The sequence below is a fragment of the Homo sapiens genome, chromosome 2, assembly GCF_000001405.40.
Source record: "Homo sapiens chromosome 2, GRCh38.p14 Primary Assembly".
Classification (NCBI taxonomy): domain Eukaryota; kingdom Metazoa; phylum Chordata; class Mammalia; order Primates; family Hominidae; genus Homo; species Homo sapiens.
This window is the reverse complement of record NC_000002.12, coordinates 218,304,707-218,322,387: the sequence shown is the minus strand read 5'-3', so window position 1 is coordinate 218,322,387 and position 17,681 is coordinate 218,304,707. Positions and strand designations below refer to the sequence as shown.

Below are 17,681 nucleotides of genomic sequence, written 5' to 3'. Positions count from 1 at the left end.
TAGAAGTTGTTAAGGTCCCTGGAATGGAAGCAGGTGTGAGGACAGGCGTGGTGGTGGTGAAATCTACAAATTTAGGCACAGGAGCCAGGGCTGGGCTTGTTTTGGCTCCAGCCCTAGCTCTGGCCCAGGACAGGAAGGGAAGGAAATGCTCTAAAGAGTCAAGCTCGGCCAGGCGCGGTGGCTCACGCCTGTAATCCCAGCACTTTGGGAGGCCGAGGGGGGCGGATCACGTGAGGTCGGGAGTTGGAGACCAGCTTGACCAACATGGAGAAACCACGTCTTTACTAAAAATACAAAATTAGCCAGGCATGGTGGCGCCTGCCTGTAATCCTAGCTACTCGGGAGGCTGAGACAGGAGAATCGCTTGAACCCAGGAGGCAGAAGTTGCGGTGAGTCGAGATCGTGCCATTGCACTCTAGAGCAAGACTCCGGCTCAAAAAAAAAAAAAAAAAAGAGTCAAGCTCGGCCGGGAGCGGTGGCTCACGCTTAATCCCAGCACTTTGGGAGGCTGAGGCCTGCGGATCGCTAGGTCAAGAGATCGAGACCATCCTGGCTAACACGGTGAAACCCCATCTCTACTAAAAATACAAAATTAGCCTGGCATGGTGGCATGCACATGTAGTCCCAGCTACTCGGGAGCCTGAGGCAAGAGAATCGCTTGAACCCGGGAGGTGGAGGTTGCAGTGAGCTGAGATTGTGCCACGGCACTCCAGCCTAGGTGACAGGGGTGAGACTCCGTCTCAAAAAAAAAAAAAAAAAAAAAAGTCAAGCTCACCTTTGCTGCTGCTGGGAGGTTCTGGGAGGGAGATGGGTGAGGGATATGTTAAATTATCTTCAAACTGAATTGTAATTCCAATACCTGAATCTGGGTTTAATCCAGAAAACCCAGACAGACCTGGAGTTTCTTCTATGTGGGTACATCTTGAGGGACAGAGCCTATGGCCTGCTCCCTCCCTGTCTCCTCGCCTGTAATTAGGTTGCTTCTCAGTGCCTGGCATATAAAGGGCTGGTACCGCAGAGGAGACAGAGGAGTGAGAAAACTGATAAGCCAATTTGCAGATGACCCTTGTAGGATGCAGGAGTTTGCATCTCCGTGTCTGTGTCTGTACATGCAAAGTGAAGGATCATGGAGGCATCATCAAAAGTCATTGTGCACACAACTTTCTGCAGGTAAGGCTGTGCCAGGTAAGGCTATATCAGGCATTCTATCAAGAAATTAAAATGCAGTCCTGTAATCTGAAACAGGAAATGCATGCTCAAGCATGAGCTTGTAGAGAACACAGAGATGACCAAATTCTAAATCTCAAGCCAGACAATTAACAAGATTATAGATAATAAATCCAAGATATGTTTGATGAAACATATGGAGTCAAGGCGGGACTGGGAAAAGGAGTGAGGGTGAGTGTTTTAGGGGAGTCATGCAGGCCCAGGGAGCCATAACCCCACCCTTAGACTGTTCTGGAAGACTTCTAATGTCTGCTGCAAGTGGGCTTTAGTTTCACTTCCTCTGCCATAAGAATTTTCTATCCCATCCAGGCTGATGCCTTATTATTACCCCTCTCCTGTACTTTATACCCTAGAATACTTAACTACTTAGGTATTGTCTCAAGCTATCATATTGTTTCACACCCCCATGCCTTTGCACATACTGTGCCTTCTGCGTGGAGTGCCATTTATTCTTTGTTCCCCAAAGACTCAAATTGGGTGTGATCTCTCCAAGAAAGCTCTTCTTGAACCCTCCCAGCAGGATCCTTCATGGGCTTAAGCATGTCCCCTTTTGTGCCAACTCTGGGTCTTATTCATACTTTTTTTTAAAAATAGAGACAGGGTCTCACTCTGTCACTCAGGCTGGAGTGCAGTGGCACAATCATAGCTCACTGCAGCCTCAAACTCCAGGGTTCAAGCAATCCTCCCGCTTCAGCCTCCTCGGTAGTTGGGACTCCAGGCATGAGCCACAGGCACTGGCCTGCATATTTTCAAATAGCTAGAAGAGCAGACTTTGAATGTTCCCAGCACAAAGAAATGATCAATGTTTGAGGTGATGGATATGCTAATTACCTTGATTTGATCATTACGCCTTGTATACATGTATCAAACTATCACACTGTGCCCCATAAATATGTACAATTATTGTGTGTCAATTAAAAATAGTAATAAAAGCAAAAAAGAGTAGGGCCAAGGATTTAATTTATTCATCTTCAACTCTCCAGTGTCTGGCATAGTGCCAGGTACATATTACATACTCACAAACGTTCTTTGAAATGTCAGACTCCTAACCGTATCCCACAAAGCCCCTGCTCAATAGGGCCCAGCCTGTCTCTTCAACCTCCTCAGATGCCTTTCCCTTGTCACCACGGACCAGCCACACTTCCTCAAATGTGCCACGCTCATTCCCACCTCAGGGCCTTTGCCTATGCTCTCTCCCCTTGGAACATTCCTTCCCCAGTTCTCTGAATTGGAGGCAGCTTCTTAGCTGTTGGGTGTCAGCTCAAACGCCAACCCCTCCATGTGGAAATAACCTGTATCTTGAGCTGAGTGCTGGCTACATGGCATATGCCAGTGGCTTTCAACAGTGGCGATTTCGCCTCCCAGAAGATATATGGCAATGTCTGGGGACATTTTTGATGGTCACAACTGTGTGGGGAGGAATGTTACTGACATTTAGTGGGTAGAGGCCAGGTATGCTGCTAAACATCCTATAATACACAAGACGGGGCCGAGCGCGATGGCTCACGCCTGTAATCCCAGTACTTTGGGAGGCTGAGGTGGGCAGATCACGAGGTCAGGAGTTTGAGACCAGCCTGACCAATACAGTGAAACCCTGTCTCTACTAAAGATACAAAAATCAGCCAGGTATGGTGGTGTGTGCCTGTAATCCCAGCTACTCAGGAGGCTGAGGCAGGAGAACTGCTTGAACCTAAGAGGCGGAGGTTGCAGTGAGCCGAGATCATGCCAGGGCACTCCAGCCTGGGCGATAAAGCAATACTCCATCTCAAAAAAAAAAAAAAAAAAAAAAGACAAACAAGAAAGACAGTCCCCAGGACAAATGGCCCCAATGTCTGCAGTACAGAGGTTGAGAGTCTGACATACGCAAATTGAAAAACTCACCAAGTTGTACATTAAAGATTTGTGCATGGCCAGGTGCAGTGGTTCACGCCTGTAATCCCAACACTTTGGGAGGCTGATGAGGGCGGATCACAAGGTCAGGAGTTCGAGACCAGCCTGGCCAACATAGTGAAACCCCGTCTCTACTAAAAATACAAAAGTTAGCCGGGTATGGTGGCACAAGCCTCTTGTCTCAGCTACTCGGGAGGCTGAGGCAGGAGAGTCACTTGAACCCAGGAGGCGGAGGTTACAGTGAACCGAGATCATACCATTGCACTCCAGCCTGGGCGACAGAGCAAGACTCTGTCTCAAAAAAAAAAAAAAAAAAAAAAGAAAAAAAAAAAGAAAAGATTTGTGCACTTTACTATATGTAAAGTATACATCAAATTAAAGAAAAAATGTTACTCCCTCTATGAGGCCTTTGCTCACCACCTCCTCACTCTCTACTCTATTACTAATATTACTGTGCTTACGTCCTTCACTTTCATAGCACTTTTCACAATGTGATGTTATTTTGTGGATCTTTTCTGTCACTCCCACTGGAATGTTAGCCCCATGAAGTCAGGGAGGGACCTGTGTTGGCACCACTGTATTCCCAGTGGTGTGAATAATACCTGGCCCAGAGCAGGTGTTCAGTTAAGTATCTGCTGAATGAATGAGTGAATGACAGAAACAAGGCATGAATGAATGACAATTTATGTTTTGCCACCAAGCACTGTGACTGTCCAGAGACTGGAGCCCTCTTGCTCTGACTAGTGGGCTCAGTGCCCACAGGAGAGCTGTACAGAAGCCAAACCCCACTCAGAAGGGTGGATCATGGAAGGGAGTCAGAACAAGCCTGGTGGCGGCAGGCGCTTCATAATATCAGAGGAAGCTGCAGGAGAACCATGGCTAAAGAACCCATGCACTCCAGGGCTTTGGCCGTGACTTCTCCCCTGAGCAGCTTGAGGCGCACTGCCAAGGCTAAAGTTTGCCTCTGCCACTCTCTTAGGAGAGACACCTTCATAACCCGAGTCGGGTGCCTGGCGATCATGCAGGTCTGGCCTGTGATGTGGGTTCCTGGGTTGGGGTGGGGGTTCTTGTGTCTCCTCCTTGTTCCACCTGTCATCCCAGGCTGCCTGTCCCTGGTGTCTGAATCTTGCCTTCCCTACTGGCCTGAGAGGTTCCCTTAGAATGGAGAGCCTGCCTCCATCTTTGCACCGTGGCTCACGCTTGATGACTGGTGCTTGGTTGGCATTCAGGAAATCACTGGTGGTGATGATGATGATGATGACAGTGACGATGGTGATGATGACGAAACAATCATGAAGGAGCTGAGATGGTTGGAGCTGTTTAAATGTTAGAGAAAAGAGACATCTTGTCAGACCTGGGTGGAGAAATTAGTTCAGTTTAGAAAAGTGAACCCAGTGCAGAAGTGGTGACTGGGATAATCTGGCCTCTGCTTAGCCCAGTCCATCCCCTCATCTGTTATCCCCAACCAAAGCTCACTTTCCCTCGTGGACCATTTTCTCATGAACTCCTGTCCGAGCCATTTTGCTGTACCCTGCAGAACCCTGGTTTGGTCTGAAACAAATCCTTCCCCAACGTCCTCTGCCTTCTCACAGAGCTCCCAGCCTGTCTGGACTGAATATGATCCCTGTCTTCTATTCCCTACCTTCTCTCTCACTGCCCTGCCTTCTGCAGTGGAAGCCTTTAGTCTCCTACATTGTCTCCAGGTTGGAAAGGAATGCACTAGCAATAGTCCAGGCCAAGGCCATTGCTCTTCCTGACTCATGTACAAACTTCTTTCCACCCCTCCTCATCAGTCCCATACACTGATCAGCCCAGACTCTCTAAGGATTTCAACACCTGTTTTTAGTCTTCCTGCCTGATTCCTGCCATCAGGTAATTCCAACAAGCATGGCTCATTCAACATCATAGCACAGCAGTTTTCAAGTGTTAGGGAGCCTAGGAACCACTCAGGGAGCTTGTAAAAATACGGAATTCTGGTCCGTCCCCCAGAGATTCAAACTTAGTAGGTTTGGCTGGGGCCCAAGAGTGTGCATTTCGCATAGGTGGTTCTGAACTCTGCCTTGACCTCAGTTCCTGACTTCAATTCCAATGCCTTCGACATAATTCAGCAGCTTGCTCACATGGCCACACCCTAGATTCACCTGGAACTTCTCTGCCTCTGAGAACCTAAATTCCAATGTCCTTTTCCCTGATCCCCTCCCATCCCCAGTACACATGGACCTCCAGTTCCAGCTCCTCAGGCAGTTTGTTTTCTTCCAGCCCTTCAGCCCCTCTTGCACCTATATTTGAACTTAGGCTCAATCCCTTGAACTACTTACCACCTGTTAGCTTCCTGATCCCCTGACCCCCTTGACCTCCAGCCTTAACCTACCAACCTTCAGACCTACCTGAACCAACCTGACAGTCTCCTACCTCACGGGCAGGGCTGAAGAAAACTGCTGTGTCATATGACTCAGGGCTGCGATGGTTCAGGCCATCCCAAGTCCCTGATACCAGTGCTTGGCAGTTCCGTTTTGCTGAGGCCCCATCTCATCTGCAGTTGTTATTCCAAACCTCAAGCCCCAACGTCATTTCCTTTACTTTCAACAAATATCCTTCTTAGAGAAAACAATTTCTGTGACTACCTACCCCTCTACATATTTTGCAATTTTCCTCAGCCTAAGAGCAAATTCCAGCATCTCCCTGCCTTAAAAACTTCCTGGCCGGGCACAGTGGCTCACGCCTGTAATCCCAGCACTTTGGGAGGCCAAGGCAGGCGGATTGCCTGAGCTCAGGAGTTCGAAACCAGCCTGGGCAACAAGGTGAAACCCTGTCTCTACTAAAAATACAAAAAATTAGCTGGATATGGTGGCGGGTGCCTGTAATCCCAGCTACTTGGGAAGCTGAGGCAGGATAATCACTTGAACCTGGGAGGTGGAGGTTGCAGTGAGCTGAGATCGTGCCACTGCACTCCAGCCTGGGTGACAGAGTGAGACTCTGTCTCAAAAAAAAAAAAAAAAAAAGAAAGAAAGAAAAAAATCTTCCCTTGACCTTGTGCCATTTTCTAGACTCCATTCTGCCTTTATCTCAACACAATCTAGTTTCCTGAAAGGCTGTCTCCAAAGGTGTGGTAGATGGCATTTCAGTTTCCAGTTATTCATCTCTCACTGTAAACATACCGTTCACCCTGTGACTGTGCATCACTTCAATGGAGGCGAGGTATATTTTCCCACGCCACTGATGTTGCTGGTCTAAGGGAGATGAAAGGCACATGGAGCCACCTGGATCCCACTCACAGCTTGGAAGTCAACCCAGCCCAGCAGAGCCCAAGCTAGATCAGCTAAAGCTCAGCCTGCCCACAGATGCATGAGCAAGATACATGCTTATGATTGTAGGCTTCTGAGTTTTGAACTGGCTTCTTATGCAGCATTACTGCAATAATAGTTAACAGTGACAGAGGGAAACAGAATATTAATGATGCTGGAAAGACATGATGGATGAGTGACTAGCTATTTACAAAAGAGCAATTTAGACTCGTGCCTCACAGAATCCACCAAAATAAATTCTACCCGAATTAAAGGGTTAAGGATATAAAATTAAACCACAGAAAATTAGAAGAAAATGAAAGACATGTTCAATCTGGATAGCAGAGGATTTTCTAAAGCTAAAAATAACAAATGCGTCATTCTAATTTTCCTTAATAGGCGTATGTTATTCTTAAAGGCATTTATTATTCCTATTATTCCTTAAAGGCATACATTATTCAGAAAAAAGCAACAGAAGATCTAACAAGGGAAATAATTACTGTTTTAGTTACTTTAAAATTTAAATCCTTGGCCGGGCGCCATGGCTCATGCCTGGAATCCCAGCACTTTGGGAGGCCGAGGCGGGTGGAGGCCGAGGTGGGTGGATGACGAGGTCAAAGAGATTGAGACCATCCTGGCCAACATGGTGAAACCCCGTCTCTACTAAAAATACAAAAATTAGCTGGGCGTGGTGGCGCGTGCCTGTAGTCCCAGCTACTTGGGAGGCTGGGGCAGGAGAATAGCTTGAACCTGGGAGGCAGAGGTCACAGTGAGCTGAGATCACGCCACTGCACTCCAGCCTGGTGACACAGCAAGACTGTCTCAAAAAAGAAAGAAAGAAGAAAGAAAGAAAGAAAGAAAGAAAGGAAGGAAGGAAGGAAGGAAGGAAGGAGAGAGAGAGAGAGAAAGAAAGGAAGGAAGGAAGGAAGAAAGAAAGAAAGAAAGAAAAAGAAAGAAAGAAAGAAAGAAAGAAAAAGAAAGAAAGAAAGAAAACCTCAGGCGGGCATAGTGGCTCATGCCTGGCATCCCAGCACTTCGGGAGACTGAAGCAGGTGGATCACTTGAGGCCAGGAGTTCAAGGCCAGCCTGTCCAAAGTGGTGAAACCAAGTCTCTGCTAAAAATACAAAAATTAGCAGGGCATGGTGGCAGGCGTCTGTAATCCTAGCTACTTGGGCACTGAGGCACAAGAAATCGCTTGAACCCAGGAGGTGGAGGTTCCAGTAAGCCGAGATCGCCCCATTGCACTCCAGCCTGGGCGACAGAGTGAGACTCTCTCAAAAAGAAAAAAAAAAACGAACTTAAATATACTTGATCTTAGCCAAAAGGCCAAGGAGTGATTACAGACCTTAAATAAATGTGAAAACACAATGACCTCAATTAATAAATTAATAAATGGCTAATAAATATGAAAAAATGTGAAAACTCAAAAGAATCAAGAAAATCCAAGTATAGCCAGGCATGGTGGCTAACTTGCACCCAAAGTACAAGTAATCCCAGCACTTTGGGAGGCCAAGGTGGGAGGATCGCTTGAGCCCAGGAGTTCCAGACCAGCCTGGGCAACAGAGGGAGACCTCATCTCTACAAAAAATTTAAAAAATCAGCCAGGCTTGGTGGTACACGCCTGTGCTTCCAGCTGCTCAGGAGGCTGAGGTAGGAGGATCTCTTGGGCCTGGGAGGTAAAGGCTGCAGTAAACTGTGATCATGTCACTGCACTCCAGCCTGGGAGACAGAGACTCTGTCTCAAAAAAAAAAAAAAAAAAAAAGCCAGGGCGCGGTGGCTCACGCCTGTAATCCCAGCAATTTGGGAGGCAGAGGCAGGCAGATCACCTGAGGCTGGGAGTTTGAGACCAGCCTGACCAACATGGAGAAACCCTGTCTCTACTAAAAATACAAAAAATTAGCCGGGTGTGGTGGCACATGCCTGTAATCCCAGCAACTCAGGAGGCTGAGGTAGAAGAATCGCTTGAACCTGGGAGGCGGAGGTTGTGGTGAGCTGAGATTGCGCCACTGCACTCCAGCCTCAAGAGCGAAACTCCAGCAACAAGAGTGAAACTCCGTCTCAAAAAAAAAAAAAAAAAAAAAGAAATAAAGAAAATGCAGTTAAACAACGAGATTTGATTTTCACTTAACCAAAATGCCAATATTAAAAACAAGAATAAAATCCTGAAGTTCTAAGAATATGGGAAGTTGAGTATTCATACATGGTTTGTAGGGACATCAAATTTGTATAATTTTCTGGAAAGCAATTACCAATATGCATCAAGGCCTTAAAAATGTTCATATCTGTTTACTTAGTAATTCTGTTTTAGGGATCAGCCCAAAAGATAAACTCTGAAATATATTAAAAATTTGAAGGCCCAGGGTTACTGGTAATGATGAAACTCTACAAACAACCTAGAGATCTTGCAACAAAAGTTAGGTTCTGTGGAACTCAGTGTTCCTTTTAAATGGTATTTAAATTAGAAATCAATGCAGTACGTGATCCTGAATTGGATCCTGGACTAGAAAAAAAGACACTGGGGAACAACTGTCAACATCAATAAAGACTATAGGTAGGTTATTAGAATTGTATCAAGGCTGGGCTCAGTGGCTCATGCCTGTACTCCCAGTACTTTGGGAGGCTGAGGCAGGTGGATCACCTGAGGTCAGGAGTTCCAGACCAGCCTGACCAATATGGTGAAACCAGATCTCTACTAAAAATACAAAAATTAGCCGGGCATGATGGTGTACACCTGTAGTCCCAGCTACTCAGGAGGCTGAGACAGGAGGATTGCTTGAACCTGGGAGATGGAGGCTGCAGTGAGCCAAGATCACGCCACTGCACTCCAGCCTGCAACCTGGGCGACAGAGTGAGACTGTCTCCAAAAAAAAAAAAATTGTATAAAGATTAATTTCCTGGTAGTTAAATAATATGTGAACATTTTTATCAAGGTTAATTTCCTGGTAGTTAATATTTGGGGAAGCTAGGGCCAGGTATGAGATCTCCTTATACATTTTCACAAATATTTTGTAAATCTGTAATTACCTAAAAAAAAAAAAGTTAAAAAAATAGAACACATACGAAGAGAATAATGCTCATACATTGATAGAGGGTTTTTTTGTTTGTTTTTTTTAAGGTGGAGTCTCACTCTGTCACCCGGGCTGGAGTGCAGTGGTAAGTTCTAGGCTCACTACAACTTCTGCTTCCCGGGTTCAAGAGATTCTTGTGCCTCAGCCTCCCAAGTAGCTGGGACTACAGGTGCACACCCCCACACCCAACTAATTTTTGTAATTTTAGTAGGGATGGGATTTCACCATGTTGGCAAGGCTGGTCTCGAACTTCTGAGCTCAGGGGATCCACCTACCTTGGCCTCCCAGAGTGCTGGGATTACAGGCATGAGCCATCCCTCCCGGCCCAGGTTTTCTTTTTTTTTTTTTTTTAAACAACATGGGTGTGGCAGATCCTGTTGGTCAATATCCATTCTTCACCCCTCCCTTTTTTCCTTGTTAACCCCTATTTTGCCCACTCTCCTCTGAATAGCCATAGCCTTCAAGTGAGTCCCTCCTCAGCCCTGATGGGTGGATCTTGCTTGGTCCAAGCCACACATTGCCAGCCAAGCTATTGGTTAGACCCAGGAATGTAATGTAATTCTTGCTATCAGATAGTAATAGCAAATATTTATATAGTACAAATCACAGGCAAGGCACTGTTCTAAGTGCTTTACATAGATTAACCCTCAGCTCTCACAACAAATGCAATTATATTTGCCTTTACATGTGGGGAAAAGAAAGAGAGATCAGATTGTTACTGTGTCTATGTAGAAAAGGAAGACAGAAGAAATTCCATTTTGATCTGTACTAAGAAAAATTGTTTCTGCTTTGAGACGCTGTTAACCTGTAACTTTAGCCCCAACCCTGTGCTCACAGAAACATGTGCTGTAATGAATCAAAGTTTAATGGACTTAGGGCTGTGCAGGATGTGCCTTGTTAACAATATGTTTGCAGGCAGTATGCTTGGTAAAAGTCATCGCCATTCTCCATTCTCGATTACCCAGGGACACAATGCACTGCGGAAAGCCGCAGGGACCGACCTCTGCCCAAGAAAGCTTGGGTATTGTCTAAGGTTTCCCCCAACTGAGACAGCCTGAGATATGGCCTCATGGGAAATGAAAGACCTTACCATAAGGCCTGACACCCATAAAGGGTCTGTGCTGAGGAGTAGTGAAAGAGGGAGGCCCCTTTGCAGTTGAGATAAGAGGAAGGCTTCTGTCTCCTGCTCTTCCCTGGGAATGGAATGTCTCGGTGTAAAGCTGACCATTCCCATTTGTTCTATTCTGAGATAGGAGAAAACCGTCCTATGGCTGGAGGCGAGATATGCTGGCAGCAATACTGCTCTGTCGCTCTTTGCTACACTGAGATGTTTGGGTAAAGAGAAACATAAATCTAGCCTACGTGCACATCCAGGCACAGTACCTTTCCTTGAACTTATTCATGATACAGATTCCTTTGCTCACATGTTTCCCTGCTGACCTTCTCCCCACCTGTTGCCCTGCTACACTCCCCTCGCTAAGATAGTAAAATAAACACTGAGGGAACTCAGAGGCCGGCACCGGTGCGGGTCCTCTGTATGCTGAGCGCCGGTCCCTTGGACCCACAGTTCTTTCTCTATACTTTGTCTCTGTGTCTTATTTCTTTCTCAGTCTCTCGTCCCACCTGATGAGAAATATCCACAGGTGCGTAGGGGCTGGCCCCCTTCAATTACACAGATAGGAACCCTGAGGTACTGAGATCAGATCAATGGCTCCAGGTCACACAGCTGATTAGATGGGGAGGCAAATAGGCTGAAGGCCTTCTAGGAAGGTTCTGCTTGTTCTTAAAAAGGGATGTACAATCATGTGTTACTTAAGGACAGGAATACATTCTGAGAGATGTGTCAGGTGATTTTGTAGTTGTGCAAACATCATAGTGTGTACTTACACAAACCTAGGTTGATTGGTATAGCCTATTTCTCCTAGGCCACAAACCTGCACGGCATGTTACTGTACTGAATGCTGTAGGCAATTACAACACAATAGCAAATATTGTGTATCTAAACCTAGAAAAGGTGCTGTAACATGGGGCGCATGGTAGCTCACGCCTGTAATCCCAGCACTTTTGGAAGCCGAGGCGGGCAGATCACCTGAGGTCAGGAATTGGAGACCAGCCTGACCAACATGGTGAAACCCCATCTCTACTAAAAATATAAAAATTAGGCAGGTGTGGTGGCACGCACCTGTAACCCCAGGTACTTAGGAGGCTGAGGCAGGAGAATCGCTTGAACCTGGGAGGCGGAGGTTGCAGTGAGCCGAGATGGCGCCACTGTACTCCAGCCCGGGTGACAGGGGGAGACTCCACCTCAAAAAAAAAAAAAAAAAGCAATAAAGCAATAATCTCATGGGACCATTGTTATACATGTGGTCCTTCGCTATTAAAACATTGTTATGTAGGCCGGGCGCAGTGGCTCACGCCTATAATCCCAGCACTTTGAGAGGTCGAGGTGGGGGGATAACAAGGTCAGGAGTTCGAGACCAGCCTGGCCAATATGGTGAAACCCCATCTCTACTAAAAATAAAAAAAATTAGCCAGGCATGGTGGCGGGTGCCTGTAATCCCAGCTACTTGGGAGGCTGAGGCAGGAGAATTGCTTGAATCCGGGAGGCGGAGGTTGCAGTGAGCCATGATTGCACCACTGCACTCCAGCTTGGGTGACAGAGTGAGATTCCGTCTCAAAAAAACAAAACAAAACAAAAACAAAAAACATTGTCATGTGGCACTTGACTGTAACAGGGCTATTTTCTTGCTTCAAGATGCCATCACCTGCCTGGGATGCTGGAACCACAGACGCCATCTTGGACTGTTGGGGAGCAGTTTGTTTAGGAGGAAATGCCAGCACCCGAGGATGGCAGAGCAGAAGTGATGGAGACCTCACCGACTGCCTGAATTAACCAATCCTGGAATTACACGCTGCTCTGGGCTTCTTGTTGCTTATAATGTAAGCCACTTTCAGTTGGGTTTTCTTTTCTTTTTTTTTTTTTTAGACGTAATCTCGCTCTGTCGCCAGGCTGGAGTGCAATGTCGCGATCTCGGCTCACCGCAGCCTCCGCCTCCCAGGTTCAAGCGATTCTCCTCCCCCAGCCTCCTGAGTAGCTGGGATTACAGGTGTGCACCACCACGCTCGGCTAATTTTTTTTGTATTTTTAGTAGAGATGGGGTCTCACCATGTTGGCCAGGCTGATCTCAAACTCCTGACGTCAAATGATCCTCCCACCTCGGCCTCCCAAAGTGCTGGGATTAGAGGCTGAGCCACTGTGCCTGGCCTCAGTTGGGTTTTCTGACACCTGCAGCCAAGAGCATCCAAACTAGTACTTTGGGTAAATTTTATATTTTCCCATAAACTGGAGGCTGGGTGTGGTGGCCATGCCTGTAACTCTGGGAGGCCAAGGGGGCAGATCACTTGAGGTCAGGAGTTCCAGACCAACCTGGCCAACATAGCAAAACCCCATTTCTTTTTTCTTTCTCCTTTTCTTTCCTTTTTTTTTTTTTTTTTTTTTTGAGGCGGAGTCTCTCTGTTGCCCAGGCTGGAGTGCAGTGACACAATCTTGGCTCACTGCAACCTCTGGCTCCTGGGTTCAAGCAATTCTCCTGCCTCAGCCTCTCTAGTAGCTGGGACTACAGGCATGCACCACCACGCCCGGCTAATTTTTTTGTATTTTTAATAAAAACAGGTTTCATCATGTTGGCCAGGCTGGTCTTGGCCACCACACCCGGCTGTGAAACCCCATTTCTACGAAAAATATGACAATTAGCTGAACGTGGTAGTGGGTGCCTGTAGTCCCAGCTACTTGGGAGGCCGTGGTGGGAGGATCTCTTATTTTATTTTATTTTTATTTAAATAGAGACAGGGTCTCACTATGTTGCCCAGGCTGATCTTGAATGATCTCTTGATCCTGGAGGTCAAGATTGCAGTGAGACATGACTGCGCCACTGTACTCTGTCTCAGAAAGAGGAAGGAAGGAAGGAAGGAGAAAGAGAGAAAGAGAGAGAGAAAGAGAGAAAAAGAGAAAGGAAGGAAAGAAGTGGAGGAGGCTGGGCACGGTGGCTCACTCCTGTAATCCCAGCACTTTGGGAGGTTGAGGCAGGCAGATCCCCTCAGGTCAGGAGTTTGAGACCAGCCTGGCCAACATGGTGAAACCCTGTCTACTAAAAATACAAAAATTAGCTGAGGGGTGGTGGCAGCTCCTGTAATCCCAGCTACTCAGGTGGCTGAGGCAGGAGAATCGCTTGAACCCGGGAGGTGGAGGTTGCGGTGAGCCGAGATTATGCTATTGCACTCCAGCCTGGGTGATAGAGCAATACTCGTCTAAAAAAAAAAAAGAAAGAAAGAAAGTAGTGGAGAAAAAAATAGGACACAAAACTGGGTAAATTTTGAATAACTGATACGATTGTACCTCTGTAAACAAAAATGGATTAAAAAAAATCTAAGGCTGGGCACGGTGGCTCGTGCCTGTAATCCCAGCACTTTGGGAGGCTGAGGCGGGCAGATCACAAGCTTAGGAGTTTGAGAACAGCCTGGCCAATATGGTGAAACCCCGTCTCTACTAAAAATACAAAAATTAGTTGGGTGTAGTGGCGGGTGCCTGAATCATCCCAGCTACTCAGGAGGCTGAGGCAGGAAAACCACTTGAATCTGAGAGGCAGAGGTTACAGTGAGCCGAGATGGCACCACTGCACATCTGAGTGATGTGCAGTGAGACTCTGTCTCAAAAAAAAAAAAAAAAAATCTAAAATGCTTCCAGTCATAATCTTTGGTTGATTGACTCATGGGGTACCATTTGTTTATTATTTTTTTGTGCTTTTAAAATATTTTCTGATCTTCTATAATGAAAACATATTAGTATTTTAATTTTTAAAATTATTATTTTATTAAAACAAAGAAAGTAGTCCTCTCTGCTGTCTCTACCTTTCACTTCACGTCCATTCTCAGGCCACTCAACTGGGCCCCTGCCTGTACTGCTCCATCCTAATTTGGCGCTGTCCCCTTGAAGGTCAAACCCATTTGTCATTGTTCAGCCCTTATCACTGAACCTCTGGGTGGCAGCTATGACAATGGAGCATGCCTTTTTCCTCTGCCTTCCCTGCCACAGTCTCTCTGGCTCTCCTCTCCCCTCTCTGACAAGCTCCCCTTCTGCTAGCTCTAAATTCACCACTTACAGGCTACCACCTGTATACTCATTACTTCAAAGGAGAAATGTCCACAAGAGCCTCCCTTGGATGCCCCACGGTAGGGGTCCCCAACCGCTTCCCTCCAACCCTATACTGGTCCTTGGTCTGTTAGGAGCCAGGCCACACAGCAGGACAGGCAAAGCTTTACCTGTATTTACAGCTGCTCCACATTGCTTGCATTACCCTCTGAGCTCCACCTCCTGTCAGATCAGCAGCAGCATTAGATTCTCATAGGAGCTCGCACCCTATTGTGAACTGCGCATGTGAGGGATGTAGGTTACATGCTCCTTATGAGAATCTAATGCCTGATGATCTGTCACTGTCTCCCATCAATCCCAGATGGGACCATCCAGCTGCTGGAAAACAAGCTCAGGGTTCCCATTGATTGTACCTTATGGTGAGTTGTATGATTATTTTATTATATATTACAATGTAATAATAATAGAAATCTAGTGCACAATAAATGTAATGCGCTTGAATCATCCCGAACCCCCCTAACCCCATTGCCTCCCCCAGTCCCTGGAAAAACTGCCTTCCATGAAACTGGTCCCTGGTGCCAAAAATGCTGGGGACTGCTGCCACACGGGATCTTTAACTTGATTTGTCCAAAGCTACCTCCTCATCCTCATGTGACCCCAACCCTCTCCTTCAGGTCTGCCAACTTGGCCAACGGCATCATCTGTGTTTCCAGATGATTTTGCCCAACTGTAAACGAATGTCATTGTTTTGTGCATGTTTAAGGCAGGCTAGGCTAGGCTATGATGTTTGGTAGGTTTAGGTGTATTTAATGCATTTTCCACTTAGGATATTTTCAATTTAGGATGAGTTTATTGGGATGTAACCACTCTATAAGTTAGGAAGCATCTGTGTTTGTCAGATGACCAAACAAACCAATCCCGACACCTAGCTCCTGGGTGAGGGCATCTCTTAGGCCTAGGTAATGACTTGCACACTTCATTGCACACATGTCTCTGTGATGGTCCTTAGGCTGTGCAGTAATTCCTGGCGCTGCCCCATAACACTTCAAGTGCCTTGTGGGTAAGGAGGGTGAACTGTCGGGGAGGGAGTGGAATCGGGTTTGGGGGTTGTGTGCTAGACTTGGAATGACCAGCTTAGAACCCTGGCTCCACTAGGAACTCTGCACCTTGGGGCAATGTTCTTAATCTACTCAAACCTCATTCTCTTTCTCTCCACGAGGGACTGGTAATTTGCATGGAGCTACTCGGAGGATTAACCGTGATTACCCAGAGAAAGGACACCTTGCCTGGGCCGTTTCAAGTACTCCACACATGTTCCTTGATATTATTGATCTCATTCTTGCAACATCAGCATCTGTCCTGGTGGGTGCTCAAGTAAATATTTTATGACTGAAATGATAAGAGGGTGTGACCTTTGCCTCCATTTCCCATTGCATCATCCCAAATCAGGCCCTTGGGTCCTCATGCCTGGCCCATTGCAGGCACCTGCAGCCCCTAGCCATCAGTTTCAAGCAGGGGCTCCCCCTGCTCAAAGCCAGTGTCTACACAATCAAATTTGCATCCCTTGTTTTAGCGACATGGTCTCAGCCCAGTTCTCTAGTGTGTGGCGTTCCTGCTGCTCCCCTCCACATGTGTCCCGTCTGCCAGCCTGCCCTGATCACTATCCTAGATTTCTGCCCCATGCCACCTGGAGAAATCCTTTTAGGCAGCTTCCTCAAGATACCAGGTACCTTCCAGCCCTACCATGCCCCCGGGGATGTGATACCCTTCCAGGAGTAACCATAACTAATGAAGGTCCAATTCTCAATCTAGGGAGTCTGGCAGCTCTCAACAGAGGAGGGAGGAGAATGAGTTCAGTTCTCAAGGAGGCTGATAATGCCTTTCCTTTTAGTCCAGTTTCTTTAAGGCTAAAAATAAATTCAACCTCCTCTTCGAAGGCTTTTCTGATTACCACAATTATTTGCACTGCCTGGTCACTACTCTAACTCCAGACCCTGGAAAAAATGTCATCTCACAGCCAAACAGAAACGAATGGTTTGGCTATGGTGGGGGCGGAAGGGGGCACACCCAGAGGAGCCATAGCCTTTTCTTTACAAGACTCTGACCTCTGGGCTGGGGGTGGTGGCTCATGCATGTAATCCCAGCACTTTGGAAGGCCAAGGCGGGATGATGGATCGGAAAATTGTCTAGAAATTCAAGACCAGCCTGGGCAACACAGTGAGACCCCACCTCTACAAAAAATTAAAAAAAAAAATAGCCAGACATGGCATGCACCTGTGGTCCCAGTTACTTGAGTGGCTGAGGCAAGACGATTGCTTGAGGTCAGAGGTTGATGCTGCAGTGAACTATGATTTTGCCACTGCACTCCAGCCTGAGTGACAGAGTAAGACCCTGTCTCAGAAACAAACAAACATACAAACTAACAGGCAAAAACAAGACTGAGCTCTCCCTGTAGGCAAAAAATGGCGGCCTCCACTTGTTTGTCTCTCCCTCATCCCCAGCACCTTGCACTGGGCTTGATGCATGCAGTGTGATAAATGTTTGTTCTGTTGTGTGGGAAGGAAGAACAGAACAACCGAGTGTAGACTGTCTACTGAGCACAAGGCCTGCGCACAGCCCTTGCACGTGGGATTTCATTGTCACGACTCTATAAGGAAGGTGATGGTCGCCCCACTTTATTTATTTATTTATTTTTGAGATGGAGTCTTGCTCTGTCACCCAGGCTGGAGTGCAGTGGCGCGATCTCAGCTCACTGCAACCTCTACCTCCCAGGTTCAAGTGATTCTCCTGCCTTAGCCTCCCGAGTAGCTGGGACTACAGGTGCCCGCCACCACGCCTGGCTAATTTTTGTGTTTCACCAAGATGGGGTTTCACCATGTTGGCCAGGCTGGTCTCGAACTCCTGACCTCAAGTGATCCACCCACCTCAGCCTCCCAAAGTGCTGGGATTACAGGCATGAGCCACTGTGCCCGGCCAGTCGCCCCACTTTAGAGATGAACAAACGAAGGCTTGGAGAGAATAATGACTCATACCATCACAGGCGACAAAACCCAAATTCAAT

At 46.9% G+C, this 17,681-nt stretch overlaps 1 protein-coding gene and 2 long non-coding RNA genes across 6 annotated transcripts in view; 1 reads left to right on the top strand and 2 right to left on the bottom strand.

Moving 5' to 3' along the window:
- The window catches only part of PNKD (PNKD metallo-beta-lactamase domain containing), a 76,275-nt gene that overhangs the window by 24,406 nt on the left and 34,188 nt on the right, over positions 1-17,681 (bottom strand). The gene's annotated exons all lie outside the window — the stretch shown is intronic.
- Positions 350-16,018, top strand: LOC105373881 (uncharacterized). Of its 3 annotated transcripts, XR_001739884.2 has the most exons (4): positions 355-389; positions 977-1,170; positions 12,227-12,411; positions 15,840-16,018. It is a non-coding gene; the product is annotated as an uncharacterized LOC105373881 (long non-coding RNA). The 3 variants fall into 3 exon arrangements; XR_923914.3 differs by lacking the exon at positions 977-1,170 and having other exon boundaries at positions 350-389; XR_923910.3 differs by lacking the exon at positions 355-389 and having other exon boundaries at positions 766-1,170.
- LOC105373880 (uncharacterized) lies at positions 2,171-5,638 on the bottom strand. The gene is made up of 2 exons (XR_923909.3): positions 5,505-5,638; positions 2,171-4,433 (listed from the first exon to the last, which is right to left on the bottom strand). It is a non-coding gene; the product is annotated as an uncharacterized LOC105373880 (long non-coding RNA).